Source organism: Homo sapiens, chromosome 8 (genome assembly GCF_000001405.40).
Source record: "Homo sapiens chromosome 8, GRCh38.p14 Primary Assembly".
Lineage (NCBI taxonomy): Eukaryota > Metazoa > Chordata > Mammalia > Primates > Hominidae > Homo > Homo sapiens.
In genome coordinates this window covers 54,962,069-54,978,770 of record NC_000008.11, presented here as the reverse complement: position 1 = coordinate 54,978,770, position 16,702 = coordinate 54,962,069, and positions in this window count along the sequence as shown.

Genomic DNA, 16,702 nt, shown 5'->3' with positions numbered 1-16,702 from the left:
AAATTCTGGCCTGAAAAGTCTTTTCTTTAAGAATTTTGAATATTGGCCCCCACTCTCTTCTGGCTTGTAGGGTTTCTGCAGAGAGACCCACTGTTAATCTGATGGGCTTCCCTTTGTGGGTAACCCGACCTTTCTCTCTGGCTGCCCTTAACATTTTTTCCTTCATTTCAACCTTGGTGAATCTGACGACTATGTGTCTTGGGGTTGCTCTTCTCAAGGAGTATCTTTGTGCTGTTCTCTGTATTTCCTGAATTTGAATGTTGGCCTGTCTTGCTAGGTTGGGAAGTTCTCCTGGATAGTGTCCTAAAGTGTATTTTCCAACGTGGTTCCATTCTCCCTGTCACTTTCGGGTACACCAATCAAACATAGATTTGGTCTTTTCACATAGTCCCATGTTTCTTGGAGGCTTTGTTCTTTCCTTTTCATTCTTTTTTCTCTAATCTTGTCTTCATACTTTATTTCATTAAGTTGATCTTCAATCTCTGACATGTTTTCTTCCACTTGATCAATTCAGCTGTTGATACTTGTGTATGTTTCACAAAGTTCTTATGCTGTGTTTTTCAGCTCCATTAGCTAATTTATGTTCTTCTCTAAACTGGTTATTCTAGTTAGCAGTTCCTGGAACCTTTTATCAAGGTCCTTAGCTTCCTTGCATCGTGTTACAACATGCTCCTTTAGCTCAGAGGAGTTTGTTATTACCCACCTTCTGAAGCCTACTTCTGTCAATTTGTCAAACTCATTCTCCATTCAGTTTTATTCCCTTGCTGGTGAGGAGTTGTGATCCTTTGGAGGAGACAAGACATTCTTGTTTTGGGAATTTTCAGCCTTTTTGCGCTGTTTTTTCCGCATATTCATGGATTTATCTACCTTTGGTCTTTGCAATTGGTGAACTTCAGATGGGGTTTTTGCATGGGCATCCTTTTTGTTGATGTTGATGCTATTGCTTTCTGTTTGTTAGTTTTCCTTCTAACAGGCTCCTTTGCTTCAGTTCTGCTGGAGTTCGCTGTAGGGCCACTCCAGACCCTGTTTGCCTTGGTATCACCAGCGGAGGCTGCAGAATGGCAAAGATTGCTGCCTGCTCCTTCCTCTGGAAGCTTTGTCCCAGAGGGGCACCCACCAGATGCCAGCCGGAGCTGTCCTGTATGAGGTGTCTGTCGACCCCTGCTTGGAGATGTCTCCCAATCAGGTGGCATGGGGGTCAGGGACCCACTTGAGGAGGCAGCCTGTCCCTTAGCAGAGCTCAAGCACTATACTGGGAGATCTGCTGCTCTCTTCAGAGCTGGCAGGCAGGAATACTTAAGTCTGCTGAAGCTGTGCCCACAGCCACCCCTTCCCCCAGGTGCTCTGTCCCAAGGAGATGGGAGTTTTATCTATAAGCCCCTGACTGAGTCTGATGCATTTCTTTCAGAGATGCCCTGCCCAGAGAGGAGGAATCTATAGAGGCAGTCTGGCTACAGTGGTTTTGCTGTGCCGTGGTGGGTTCTGCACCCAGTTCAAACTTCCCAGTTTTGTTTACACTGTGAGGGGAAAACTGCCTACTCAAGCCTCAGTAACGGCAGACGCCCCTCCCCTCACCAAGCTCGAGCATCCCAGGTCAACTTCAGACTGCTGTGCTGGCAGCAAGAATTTCAAGCCAGTGGATCTTAGCTTGTTGGGCTCCATGGGGGTGGGATCTGCTGAGCAAGACCACTTGGCTCCCTGGCTTCAGCCCCCTTTCCATGGGAGTGAACATTTCTGTCTCCCTGGCATTCCAGGTGCCACTGGGGTATGAAAAAATCTCCTGCAGCTAGCTCGGTGTCTGCCCAATTAATCCCCAAGTTTTGTGCTGGAAACCCAGGGCCCTGGTGGTGTAGGCACCCAAGGGAATCTCCTGGTCTGCAGGTTGTGAAGACTGTGGGAAAAGCATAGTATCTGGCCCAGATAGCACTATCCCTCATGGCACAGCCCCTCATGGCTTCCCTGGGCTAGGGGAGGGAGTTACCCAACCCCTTGCACTTCCCAGATGAAGCAGCACCCCTCCCTGCTTCTGCTTGTCCTCTGTGAGCTGCACCCACTGTCTAACCAGTAGTCCCAATGAGATGAACTGGGTACCTCAGTTGGAAATGCAGAAATCACCAGCCTTCTGTGTTGGTCTCGCTGGGAGCTGCAGACCAGAGCTGTTCCTATTCAGCCATCTTGCCCGGGAATCCATTTATTATCAATTATATTTTTATATTCTTGTAATGAACAATACAAAAATGATATTTAAAAATCTAACTACAATAACATCAAAGATCATAAAATACTTTGGAATGTATTTAACAAAAAAAGTACAAAATTTATACTTTGAAAAGTACAAAACATGTTGAAAATAGTAGTGAAAATCCAAGTAAATGGGAAGATACCTACATTCATGGATCAGAATACTTAAATTTGATAAGATGACAATACTACCCAAACTAATCCACAGATTCAGTGTAATCTCTATCAAAATCCCACCTGGTTTCTTTGCAAAAATTGACAAGCTGATCTTAAAATGTACATAGAAATTCAAGAGATCAGAATAGCCAAAACAAGCTTGAAGAAGAAGAACAAAGTTTGAGGACTCACACTTCCAAAATTTAAAACTTACTATAAAGTTATAGAAACTAAAACAATGTGGTACTGGAATGAGGATAGATATATAGAGCAGTGGGGTAGAATTAAGAATACAGAAAAAAACTCTCATATGTATAGTCAACTAATTATTGATAATGCTGCCAAGACAATTCAATGAGAAAAGAAAATTATCTTCAACAAATATTACTGGGACAATAGTATATCCATTACATAATAATGAAGTTATGTCCATGGATCAAAGACCTAAATGTAGGGGCTAAAACTATAAAGCTCTAAGAAAAAAACATAGACATAGATCTCCATGACTTTGAATTAGTCAATTGTTTGTTAAATGACACTAAATACATGAAAAGAAAGAAAAAAAATGGATACCATCAAAATTAGAAACTTTTGTACTTTAAATGAAACCATTCAGAATGTGAAAAGGCAACCCAAAGAATGGGAGAAAATATTTGCAAATTATGTACCTGAGAAGGGACTTGTATCTAGAATACATAAAGAACTCTTACTAGTCAGTGAAAAAACAAATAACCCAATTAAAACATGGCAAAGGAGTTGAGTAGAAATTCCCCTAAGGAGATATTCAGATGGCCAAAAAGCACATGAAAAGATGTTCAACATCCTTAGCCATCAGGACAGTGTAATTCAAAACTGCAATGAGATACTAGTTCATGCTCACTATGATGGGTAAAATTAAAAAGTCAAATAACAACTCTAGATGTGAATGTGGAGAAACTGAAGCCCTTGTACACTGTGGCTGAGAATGTAAAATGTTGTAGCCACTGTGGAAAACAGTCTAGTAGTCCTCCAAAAAGTTTAATGTAGCATTTACCATTGACCTGACAATTCTCTTTCTATGTATATACCCAAGATAATTGAAAACATGTGTTTATGCAAAATCCTTTACACGAATATTTATAGCAGCATTCTTTATAACAGTCAAAAGATGGAAACAATGCAAATGTCAATCAATTGATGAACAGATAAATAAAATGTGGCATATCCATACAATGGAAATGAAGAACTCATACATGCTACAACATGGATGAACTTTGAAAATATGATAAGTAAAAGAAGCCAGACAGAAAGATCATGGCTCACCAGGTAGCTGTCACTGTGACATGAGTCAGTAACTTTTCTAAGCAACTTCAGTTTCCCAGTTCCTGAGTTGTAAATACTCAAACAAAGACAGACTAATAAACCACTTAACATGCAATTAAATGTCTGTGACATTAACCAAGTATTTGATTACAAAAATTCCAAAGGACACCAATCACGTATTTGAATGATTTGTAGAATGAAAAGAAACATCAAAAATAGAGCTATACATTCTCATATCACAGACCGAAGTTAGATTTTAACTTTGCTTATATCAAAACACCTACTGAATTTGGGCAAAAACTATCTGCCTTGATTTCAGGTGACTAAGCCATTTGTTCCTTTAAGAAGTTTAAGTGCATCATAGAACTTTTATTTAAAAATTAAATTTTTGAAAAAAATTTTCTTTGGTATTCTATGTCAAGTAACTGAATATTTCTTTAACAATCATCTTTGCAAATCTTCATCAATAGATAATGAGCCCTCCACATACATGTTCTCATTATAAGTTTAGACTTTATCAGATTGTAGTCTCCTCCTATTTGGCCTATAATTCTCAGACTTGAGATAAAAGACGCTGGTGGTAGCTAACATTTGAGGAATGTTTGCCAGTTTACTTGGTGTCTTTATACCTCTTGGCTCACGTAATCCTTACAACAATTTTATAAGTAGGCATTAGTTAAACTAATCCTAATTTACAGATTTGAAAATTGATGCTCTTTGCGGTTAAGAATCTTGCCCAAAACTAATGAGTGCAGACCTCAAATCTGGGTCCTCAATGCATAAGGCTGTGCTTACTCCACAGCCATCACTTGATCTGGAATTGTGGAGCCTATAACCAGAGTCCCTCTCGGTTCACTTTAACCTCACCCTGTCCTGCTTCCATTGTCACCATCTGTACTTTATGAGAACAAATCTCAGCAGATGAGAGGGTGAAAAATTCCTTACGATAAACATCTATTATTCAAATTATGACCCAGGGGTTGTGGTAAAATACCTACTGTTTCAATTATACAATTTTTGTTCTGAGAAAGAACAGAGCTGGGAAAGATAATGCAGTAGTTGCTGAATGGCTGTGATATAAATTGCCTCTATGACTGTCCAAATGGTAAGCCCAGAAGCATTGGTCTGCCTCTGGCTAGAACCCTGTGGCTTTAATATTATTCTGCGCTTGTTCCCTTGCTCTTCATAACATCAGGTGCTCCCAGATGGGCATCTTCTATTTTGGAGGCAATAAAATGCTGTAGCCGAAGTAACACTGAACATATCCTCTATTTTAGAATGCCATTGGAGCAACACAAACCACCAAGATATGGTCCCCAGACAGGCTGCAAGTCAATATCGGGCCAGGGCACAACTGGGCTTCCTGATACCTATGGTTTAATAGTGCCCCCTTTGTGGACACTCTGATATTTACCCTCAGTTAAGGTGTTCTTGTTTCATTTTGCAGTTGGTCTGCTGCAATGTAAGATATGCACTTGGGTGGGAACCTGGAAATCCAGTTGCAAGCCAGCTGCACAGCTCCCTGGCTGAGTGGTGTTGGGCAAAAGTCTGTGCATCTCCAGACTTCTCATCTGAAGGTCATGGGAAGGAATATGTCACATTGATACTGTATTTTTAAGCCTGGCTAGATATAGGGCTCAGTGGCCTAGGAGGAGGATATCATTGCTCTTTGGGAGAGGATTTCTCTGCTCTTTCCTCCACTCAGGAGAGGCACTTTAATGGTTATGTTTAGTTAAGCTTAGTACTGAGATAGAGAAGTGAGGCTTGGTGGAAATGGTCCAGGAATTTGAGGATGAGTCTCAAAAACTTAGTTTGAAATAGATTGTCATGATCTGTTTTTCTTCTGTCATCCCAAATCATCACAGTCAGGCTTTTAATCAGGGGGTTTAGGATGAAGGAAGTGGGGTGTGTCCTTGTGGGGCAAAGCTGTGCACACAGAGGGCTACAGCTGCAAGAGCTGGGTTCCGAGGCTAGAGGCCAGAAAATGGCTGAGTCAGGCCCACGGAATGGTGTGTGAGGGAGCTGGAGACTCGCCCTTGTGACTCAGGGCTTATGACCAAGGTAGACCTTGGAAGCTCAAGAAACTCGGAAGCAACCAAGAGGCAAACAGTTAACTTATGGAAAATGAAAGATTTCGTTGACTGATCATCAAGCATCTTTCAGTTAAAATATTCAGTGGATCTATGCATCTGCCCAAAGAAAAATTGAGTTAAAAATAGCTAAAGAGGCCAGGCGCAGTGGCTCACACTTGTAATCCCAGCACTTTGGGAGGCCGAGGCGGGTGGATCACCTGAGGTCAGGAGTTCAAGACCAGTCTGACCAACATGGAGAAACCCCATCTCTACTAAAAAAAAAAAAAAAAAAAAAAAAAAGAAGACAAAATTAGCTGGGCATGGTGGCACGTGCCTGTAATTCCAACTACTCAGGAGGCTGAGGCAGAAAAATCACTTCAACCTGGGAGGCAGAGGTTGCAGTGAGCTGAGATGGCGCCATTGAACTCCAGCCTGGGCAACAAGAGTGAAACTCCATCTCAAAAAAAAAAAAAAAATAGCTGAAGATTTTCTATGGCACCATTTTTAGTCATTCATATTTGTCTCGTTTATTGTATGTTTTAAACAAATCTATCAAAATTACCTTGCTGTTTTTTAATGTCAGAAGAAGATCAAGTCAACAAGTATATATTCAAAAGTTAAAGCCCAGGTGTGGTGGCTCACACCTGTATTCCCAGCACTTTGGTAGACAGAGGTGGGAGGATCTTTTGAGCCCAGGAGACCAGCCTGAGCAACACAACAAGGCTCTGTCTCTACAAAAAATAAAAAAAAACTAGCCTGTTTTGGTGGTGCACCTGTTGTCTTAGCTACTCAGGAGGCTGAATTGGGAGGAATGCTTGAGCCTGGGAGTTCATGGCTGCAGTAAGCTATGATTTTGTCATTGCAATCCAGCCTGGGTGACACAACAAGATCCTGTCTCAAAAAAAAAAAGAAGAAAGAAAGAAAGAAAGACAGAAAGAAAGGAAGGAAGGAAGGAAGGAAGGAAGGAAGGAAGGAAGGAAGGAAGGAAGGAAGGGATAAAAATAAAACATGTTTAAAAAATTAAAGACTGTTAAACAATATATTTTGTAGGAAATTCAATATTAATAATGGCAGTTTGAAAACAATAGTCCCTTATATAAATAGGCAAGGAGAAAAAAAACAGCTTTTATGGGTGGGAAGGATGATCATGTACCTAAATAGATAATGCATTAATGTATGTTATTTTATGTCTGGTGCTATTGGACTGACATAAAAATCTAATATTCCTGACATCCGTTCAAGTTCAAGCATGTATCTCAACTTCTGACTCTGAGCATATTCATTTCAAAGGGCTTCACAGACAATTAGCTAATTACCCCTGTGGGGTGGGCATAGAACCAATGAGTGTGATTATTATTAAGCTCTTCAGACCTGAACATTCCATGCAGTGGGACCCTCTGTGTTTTTCATAAGAAAATCTGACATACTTAACAGCTCAAGAGAGCAGCAATGCCCAATTCACACAACAGCTGTGAAAACCTTCAGGGTTGAATTATTATTATTATTCCAGGAACTCTCCTCTTTGAACATGGTTTTGAATCACTACTGTCTTTTGCTGAGGATCCAGAAGCAGCAGTTAATTACCAAGTTCCAGCCGTTCCTGTGGGCCTGCCACTGAGACCCCCATAAGCAAGCTTTTTATTGTTTTATTTTATTTTTAATTGACAAGTAATTATTGTCATATTTTGTTATAAACTGATATATTCATGGGGTATGACATAATGTTTTGATACATGTCTATATTGTGAAATAATCATATCGGGCTAATTAACATATCTATTACCTCAAATATTTATCATTTCTTTGGAGTGAGAACATTTCAAATCCCCTCTTTTAGCTGTTTTGAAATATACATTATTGTTAACTATAGTCGCCATGCTGTGCAACAGATCACCAGAACATATTGCCCCTATCTGACTGAAACTTTGTACCTGTTAACCTAAATCACCCCTTTCCCTGTCCACCCCCAACCCCACCACCACTCACCCTTCCCGTTACTGGTAACCACCATTCTCTCTCTACTTCTGTGAGTTTGACTTTTTGGATTTCATATATAAGTGAGAGCATATGGTATTTGTTCGCTCTGTGCCTGGCTTATTTCACTTAAGATAATGTCCTCTAGGTTTACCCACGTTGTTGCAAATGGCAGAATTCCTTGTAGTTTTCTATTGTGTGTATCATATTTTCTTTATCTATTCATTGGTTGATGGAAATAGGTTGTTTTCCTCTCTTGGCTATTGTAAACAGTGCTGCAATAAACATGAGAGTGTAGATATCTCTTGGACATGCTGACTTTAATTCCTTTGGATATATACCCAGCAGTAGGATTGCTGGGTCATAGGGTAATTCTAATTTTATTTTTTTTGAGGAACCTACATACTGTTTTCCAAAATGGCTGTACCAACTTACATTCCCACCAACAGTGTTCAAGGGTTCCCTATTGTTCACATTCTCACCAACACTTGTTATCTTTCATCTTTTTGACAATAGCAAATCTAACAGGAGTGAGGTGATATCTCACTGTGGTTTTAATTTGCATTTCTTTGATGATTAGAGATGTTGAGTATTTTTTATATATCCATTGGTCATTTGTATGTCTTCTTTTGGGAAATGTCTTTTTAAGTCTTTTGCCCATTTTTAATAGGATCTTGTTTTGTTGTTATTGAGTAGTTTGAGTGCCCTGTATATTTTGCACATCAGCCACTTTCCCGAAATATGATTTGCAAAGATTTTCTCCCAATCTGTGGGCTGTCTCTTTACTCCATTAATTGTTTCCTTTGTTGTGCAGAAGCTTTTTAGATTTACTCATTTTAAAACTGACTAAAATGTGTTCATCTTTTGCAGGAAGATGAAGGTGAAATTGGCAGGTGGGCCTGCAGATTAATGTTTTCTGTTTGTTTCATCATCCTACCCACTTTGGCACTTAACAACTGATAAAGAAGTTTTCTTTCTATTCTTATAAAGAAAAACAACAACAAGATGTACTTAGATATAGGCTTGTAAACCTTCAAAGGAGAGACTTAGCATTTTTTTTTTCCTTGCTCTTTTTCTTTATCGCCAGGACAAATGGATCAGGATCTAATCTGCTTACTCTTTCTGTACTTGCAGAGCAATTTTGATGTAATCAGAGGATTATCTTCAGCATCTCAAACACTTGAACTGTGCATTCATTTTTAGCACGTCAACCAAGGTGGCAGATATTTTTGTCAAAAGGCAAAATCCAACTTCAGTACCTCTTTGGGATTATATGTCTGGAACACATAACAGCCAATTTGGAACTATGGTAATGATCTTTTGCATGTTTACATAAGTGAAAATGGATTGAACTGGGATAACTTTGAAGTTTGACTCTGCTAGCAGTCTCCTGCTCTCTTACACTTAGTAATAACTTACTGTCATTATGTAACTAATTTATATAACTAACATAAAGTTAATAATAACCTTACAGTTCATACATCATTTCATAAAACTTCACAAGAGGTAAATTTTTCATTATATGTAAAATCTTCAATGCTGAGACTTAGCAGCTAAAATTTGTTTAAAAATTAGGATTCTTCTGCAGTAGTACATATCATTAACACTGTTGTAACAGAGCAAACCCAGATTATGCTAAGAGTTTATCTTTGAAAAGGAGTGATCAAATTCCTGTCTGTATGGAACAACATGCTGGGCCCATGTATGGTTTCTGTCCTCCAGGACTTTGCAAATAAAGGAGACATACAAACACAACAAGTAAGAGAATGCAAATGTTTTTTAACATTTTCCTTGATGGCAGTGGCAGATGTCTCCATTTTTGGCATCTGTGTCTTGCAGGCCAACTATTTTTGTGGCCTTCTTTTCCCATCTGTTCGTACTGTCATCTTATGTACCTGTATTATCCAAAGAAAGTCTTCTGGGACCTGCACTGCAGCACAGAAATCCTGCTCCCAGCAAACTACAAAGGTCATCTCAGGGCTCAAGCTTTAGTGGGGAAGTTCATTAGACTCCACGGTGATTTCCCAGTGTCTCTTTGCTTTTCCTCTTTTCTTCTTTTCTCTTCTCTTCTCTTCTTTTCTCTTTTCTCTCTCTCTCTTTTTTTTTTCTTTTTGAGAGAGAGTCTCACTGTGTCCCGCAGGCTGCAGTGCAGTGGCATGGTCTCGGCTCACTGCAACCTCCACCTCCCAGGCTCAAGTGATTCTCCTGCCTCAGCCTCCCGAGTAGCTGGGATTACAAACGCCTACCACCACACCTGGCTATGTTTGTATTTTTAATAGAGACAGGGTTTCACCAGGTTGGCCAGGCTGGTCTTAAACTCCTCGCTTCAGGTGATCCACCCTCATTGGCCTTCCAAATTGCTGGGATTACAGACATGAGCCACAGCGCCCGACCTCCAGTATCTATTTCTTTCAAACACAAACACAAAAAGATACTTATACACATGGCCTTCAATATAGACTGCACTTGCTCCATGAATTATAAAAATATACATAACTTTTGTTTTCAAGTACCTTTATTTATTCTTCAGAAAGTATCTGAAGTGAAAAGAATGGTACTGAGATATTGCCTGTTTCCAGCACCGCTCCAGAATGATCCAGAACAATGTGTTCTCATAGAAATGGAATGGGAGCCACATATGCCACTTTACATTTCCTAGTAAGTAAAAGAAACAGGTGAAATTAATTATAATAATACATTTTATTTAATGCAGTATTCAAAAATATTCTCATTCAACTTATAATCAGTATAAAGTTATTAATGACAGATTTTACGTTTATGTTTTTTCATACTAAGCACTTGGAATCTGTGGTGTATTTTACACTCAGAGTACATCTCAATCTGGACTAGCCACAGTTCAAGTGCTCAACACCCACATGTGATCAGTGGCCATCATATTGTACAGTACAGGTCTAGATTGCCCCATGTAAATTTTGGTCTTCTATTAATGCCTGTGATGAATTTGACCACATGTATTTTAGGCAATGTTCATTCAGTGTGACTATTTAGTTTTTGTCCTTGGTTGAAATGTTATCAAGTAGTGTCTTTGCTAGAGGTGAAGTTTATTTGAAATAAAGTGTGATTTTCCCTAAGGATACCTGAAGATGCTGTTTACTTAGAGACTTCACAAAGAAGTGAACAGGTTAATTGAGAATAAAACATAATATTAAAAGATGCACAGTTCAGTTATAAACATCTAACTCATGCAAAACCTGCTGAATAAAGTCCTAGGTCCCTCCCATGGTTTTCTGTGTCTTTTGTCATCTGGTCTCTGTTTTCTGTCCTAGCCTCTTTGCTCCCCTCTCCCCTAAACCAACCCCATGATCTAGTCATACTGAATTATTTACAGTTCCCCTAACATGATCCTACACAAGCCTATAAGGCAGGTATGTTTACCACTATGTCACAGGTAAAGACATCATTCAATAGGTATAAATGACTTGCACAAGCTCACAAACATGTGCTAAGTGGTAAATCTCGGAAACAAGTCTTCAGACACCTGCACAGAGCACTCCCTACTCCACACGAAACAGGTAGGCTTAGGCTTCCTGGACTTTCTGGAAAGGGTGTCCTTAGCACCTTAAATGATAGCTTAAGTCACCAGACCAAGCTCTGTGACTGTTACCTTTAGCTTGCTGCTCTGAATATGACAAACAAAATATTTTATTGCAAGCATTTTGAATCGAGTTTTGCAATAGGATATTACACACATTCAACAAATACAAAGAGGCAAGGAATTATGGTTTTGTTTCCATTTCAAAGCATTCTAAGTATTTAACTTCTAAGACAAATCAGTCCAAGAGCTTGACAAGGTAATTTGAGGGAACATTACAATTGATGCCTTTGAAACTACTGTTGTGGCTTTAGGTTTCTCTCCTTTGGTTTCCAAAAAATCTAGTATCTTACGTGGGTGAATAAAAAGTTGTTTTTGTTTAGGAAATTGCTGGCATTAAAAGAGTGAGTCTGTTGGTTCACAAATATATTTAAGAGGAAGACAGTGAAGCGACACACATCACTCCTGCACTTTGGAAATGACTGAGACTTTATGAGGCCCAATCTGTTTGCCTCGTGCTTCTCCCTGATTCTTCCCCAAAACTTACCTTATGCAACTTGTTGCCACAGATAAGAGAATGACACTGATAAATCAAAATCTGAAAAATCAAAATCCTATTTTACTAGGGCTACCTCATTATATTTTATTGTTGCTACTATTATTTGAAATAATGTGGACATTTGTTGAAATGTATAAAGCATCAAGAACACATAGTCTGCCAAACATTTTAGAGTATTAGCCAAATGTAGTGTGTATCCAGTTGGTTAATTTCAAAATCTCAAAAGTCCTTGAATACAGACCACAAATGCATAGTCAACTCTCTGGGTGCGATGCGCACAAAAAGCCCAAAGTAAGACTCGAGTCTGTGAAGCACTGAGCACAAGAAATTGATGTGGCCAATTTAACATCAAAGTAGACTTCAAGAGAAGAAATATTATCAGAGGTAAGATGCCAATTCACTAGGAAGACATAATCCTAGATGTGTTATTAGCAAATAATAGAGGTTCAAAATAAATGCATTAAAATTGAGATAACTAAAGGCAGAAATATAGTAAAATTCAATTATGGTGGAATATTTGAACACTTGTCTGTCAGTAATTGATAAAACAATTAGACCAAAAAAAATAGAAGATTTGAACAACCCTATAAACTCTCTTAATCTAGTTGCTTGCAAGAGACGCCACACCCAACAAGAGCAGCGTTTTCAAGTGCACATGGAGCATTCCCCAAGACATGTCATAATGTGGGCGATTACATATCTCATTAAATTTTAAAGGATTAATGTTAGGTTGTTTAATTTGAGTAAATAAGGAAGCTTCTGCTTTGTGTGTGGATCCTTTTCTTTAAATAATATATCATCTGAAATAATAATAATACACAATTTGGGGACATCTGTAAGAAGCTAGTTATTTAAGCTCTTTAACTACATGTTATCATAGAGTTTACTTTTTTTAAAGGATAAGTTTTTAAAATATATAAAGCAGTATCACCAAAAGTGTTTGTGTAAAAAAAGCATCCTTCCCCTTCTCTTGCCCCCTCCACACTCACTATAAAACTGGGAATAAAAGCCATTTGTGGCCAGCAGTTGTTTGGCAATGACAGCTCACCTTGACTACAATCAGGCAGTATCTCTTTGTTGATACAGCCAAGGATCTTCAACTCCCTTCACCTTTGTGTACCCTTAACTTCACATCAAAGCACTGCTGCTTGGGAGAGGTGAAGGCTTGCGTGCTTCTGCCCATGCTGGATGGCCATCTGGTCCAGATAACACCCAGCACGCTCTTGCAGATGTTCAACTGGCACCTGTCTCACCCGTCCTGTCCACTGCACGCAGAGTGAATGTGTGTAACTGATCAAGAACACATTATAGAAATAACACAGGTATAGTCACATGTCTTTGAATGTGAGAGTAAAATTCTGTTAAGCAAATATGGTTTGTGGGTTTTTTGATTTTTGTTTTTTTCAGAATTAACAGAAAGATCAATATAGAAATACCAAGGTGGTTAATAGCAGCTTTTAATTTCTATCTGTAAGAATCTTTTAAAGAGAGGATTTCAACCACAACCCATTCCAAAGCTTATCAATTTCATCTCACCGTGCCAACACCAGTGTTTACAGTTCATATGCTGTAGCATACAGATGATCCCTGAACCTTCACTAATAAGCTTTCAAATTCTTCTCAATGCATGCAATTTATTTTTGCTAAAAATGAGGACACATGGTAATTCTTGTTAGGTAGTGATGGAAGCTGAGGGTATCATGTGATACAGTTCAGAGTAGGGTAAAACTGATTACAAGTTGTAAGATGCATAAAAAACTCCTGCAGTCACACCCGAGTTAGGGTTGATTTAGGGCTGCCAGCAGCACTGCTATAACAGAGACACAGGAGTCAATCCTGAGCAAAAAGAACAAAACTGGAGGCATCACACTACCCAGCCTCAAACTATACTACAAGGCTACAGTAATCAAAACAGCATGGTACACATAGACCAATGGAATAGAATAGAAAACACAGAAATAATTCAATTCACCTACAGCCAGTTTATTTTTGACAAAGGCACTAGAAGCATACATTAGGGAAAGGTTCACTAAGGTGTACAAAACACAGTTACATAGAAGGAATAAGTTCTAATTCAGCAGTACAGTAAAGAAATTGTATTTAACCAGAATTCATCATATATTTCAAAATAGCTAGAAGAATTGTAATATTCCCTACACAGAGAAATTATAAATGTTTGAGGTGATGAATATCCCAGTTACCATAATTTGATTATTGCACATTGTTTATACATATCAAAATATCACATGTACCCCCAAAATTTGTACAACTACTATGTAAATAAATAAATAAATATAAATTAGGCCAAAAAAATGGAAAAAGATAAATCTATTTCTTACAGTTCTGGGGGCTGGGAAGTCCAAGGTCAATGGCCACATCTGGTGAGGGCCTTTTTGCTGGTGGTGACTCTGCAGAGTCCTCAGGTGGTGCAAGCATGCCATGGTGTGGGGCACACAGGAGGGAACCAACCTGGCTTTTATAACAGACTAACTTTTATAATAACTAACTTATTCCCATGGTATCCCATTAACCATTAATCTACAAATTAATGCAAGCAGGAGGGGAGAGCCCTCATGACCCAATCACCTCTTAAAGATCCTACCTTTCAACTCTGCTGCATTGGGGGCCAAGTTTCTAACATATGAACTTTTGGGGAACACATTCAAATTCTAACAGATTATCATCTTGGAACTAAAGGCAGCTTCAGATTGGCCCTTCACATCAGCTTCACTCCTGTGGCCAGAGAATCAGCTTGAACATGTTGCCAGTTCCTAAGTATATCTGTTCCCACTATATATTCAGACATTGGGGAAATAACCACAGAATAAGCCCACAGACCCTCTCTGAGACAGACTCAAGCCAGTATGTCATCTATTACTTGACTTCCATAAGGTCCCATTTTGACTAGTCTACCATATGGGTATTTCTGGTCTCTGGTTATTAGCAATCATTTAAATCCAATAACAATAATCCCTCAATAATCTAGTTATTTCCCTTTTCCTAGGGCAGTCACCCTGATAAATGGTCAAGTTGCCTCTGGGAGAAGTCTTGAGAGAAGAAACCATATACAGAGTCATATCTCAGTTGATCCTCCAAGCAAAAGGCTTTATATCCAGAACCTGGCTTAGATCTGGTAACTAGATAAGAGGCCATACATTCTCCATAAGCAATTCATCATGATCCATAGGGAAGGAGCAAAGCTGAGTGGGTAGTAAGTCCCTGGATTCCTTCTTCTCACCCCCTCCAATCTTTTCTCGGTGGTCCGTATTTGTGGAGGTTAACAGGAAACCAGAAAGCAGGAGAGCTCAGTGATGTAACCCATCTGTCAACCTCCCAGAAGAGCCACAGGGGCAGAGAAGTAAGAAGCATGAACCTGGAGGAGATGGAGGTCACCAGCACAGGTTCCCCAACATTCAAAACATATGTATGCCATGACGTGTCTTCATTTTAACACAAATTATTTTTACTTGGCTGCATTTACTTAATGTATATGTCAGATACCATTTGGTATTGGTACACATAAAGCTGTTTCATGCCTTTTTTTTTTTTTTTGTCTTGTTTTGAGATGGAGTTTTGCTCTTGTTGCCTAGGCTGGAGTGCAATGATGCGATCTTGGCTTACTGCAACCTCTACCTCCCGAGTTCAAGCAATTCTCCTGCCTCAGCCTCCCAAGTAGCTGGGACTACAGGTGCCTGCTGCCACGCCCAGCTATTTTTTTGTATTTTTAGTAGAGAGGGTTTCACCATGTTAGCCAGGATTGTCTCGATCTCCTGACCTCGTGATCCACCATGTTAGCCAGGATTGTCTCGATCTCCTGACCTCGTGATCCACCTGCCTCGGCCTTCCAAAGTGCTGGGATTACAGACATGAGCCACCGCGCCCAGCCAATTCTCTTATTCTTTAGAAGAGACCTCCTCAATGTATTTCGCAGCATATTACACAATGGCTTATAGACATGTCATGGGTAACAGGGCAGTAGGCAGGGCCCATCTACATGCTGCATTGTGCACATTCTTTTCTTTGTGGCCCTGAAAAGCATTGTGTTAGATATCTATTACCTGACATAAGCAAAGATAGGATTCATGTATTTATACATTATCCACTCTCTTTACTCTCTTACACCACCCGTATTTCACTGGTTCTATTATTTACCTTAGTATTATCCTTAAGTATTTTCTGATAGATATGGCAGGTTGACCCTATCTACTTTCCTTTTAACTGTTGCCCTGTATTGCAGTGGCTGAAAAGCTAAAGGCTCTAATTTGCAGACTCCTTTACAGCCAGGATTCCAGAAGACTCAGGTCTGATGAATGAGATGCACGCTCCTGGGTGGCAGAGGTGAGATGGGGGCCTTGCTTCTGCTATTTCTGCTGGCAAGTGTGAGAGTGCTGTAGAGATTTCCTGTAGCAGCTCAATGTCTAGTGACCAGCACCTTGAGTATCAGGAAGGACATGGGTATTCATCTGCTGGTGGGGACCAGAGCACAGGCAGGGACCATAGCACTGCTTGGGGCTTCCTCTCTGAGGTGAGTTCTTACCCAGGAGTGGTACAATGTTTCAGGACCCAGAAGAAGTAGTAGTTCTCTTCTTCTAGAAGCCATTTAATATGCTGTAATAAATTTCTGCTTTGATTTATATCTTATAGTAAATTTACTCTATCGAATTTTTGAATTTATATATAAAAACATGTTTGGGCAAGATTTTCACTGTTTCCATCCAGTATTTTTCTAAGCGATCTTCACCTTCAATTTATTTTTCCTATTTCTTGTCTTGTTTCCTTTTTTAAAAATATTATTTGGTGTGTTCTATTCAGAGTAGAAGAATTTTGAATGGGAAATAGTTCTTC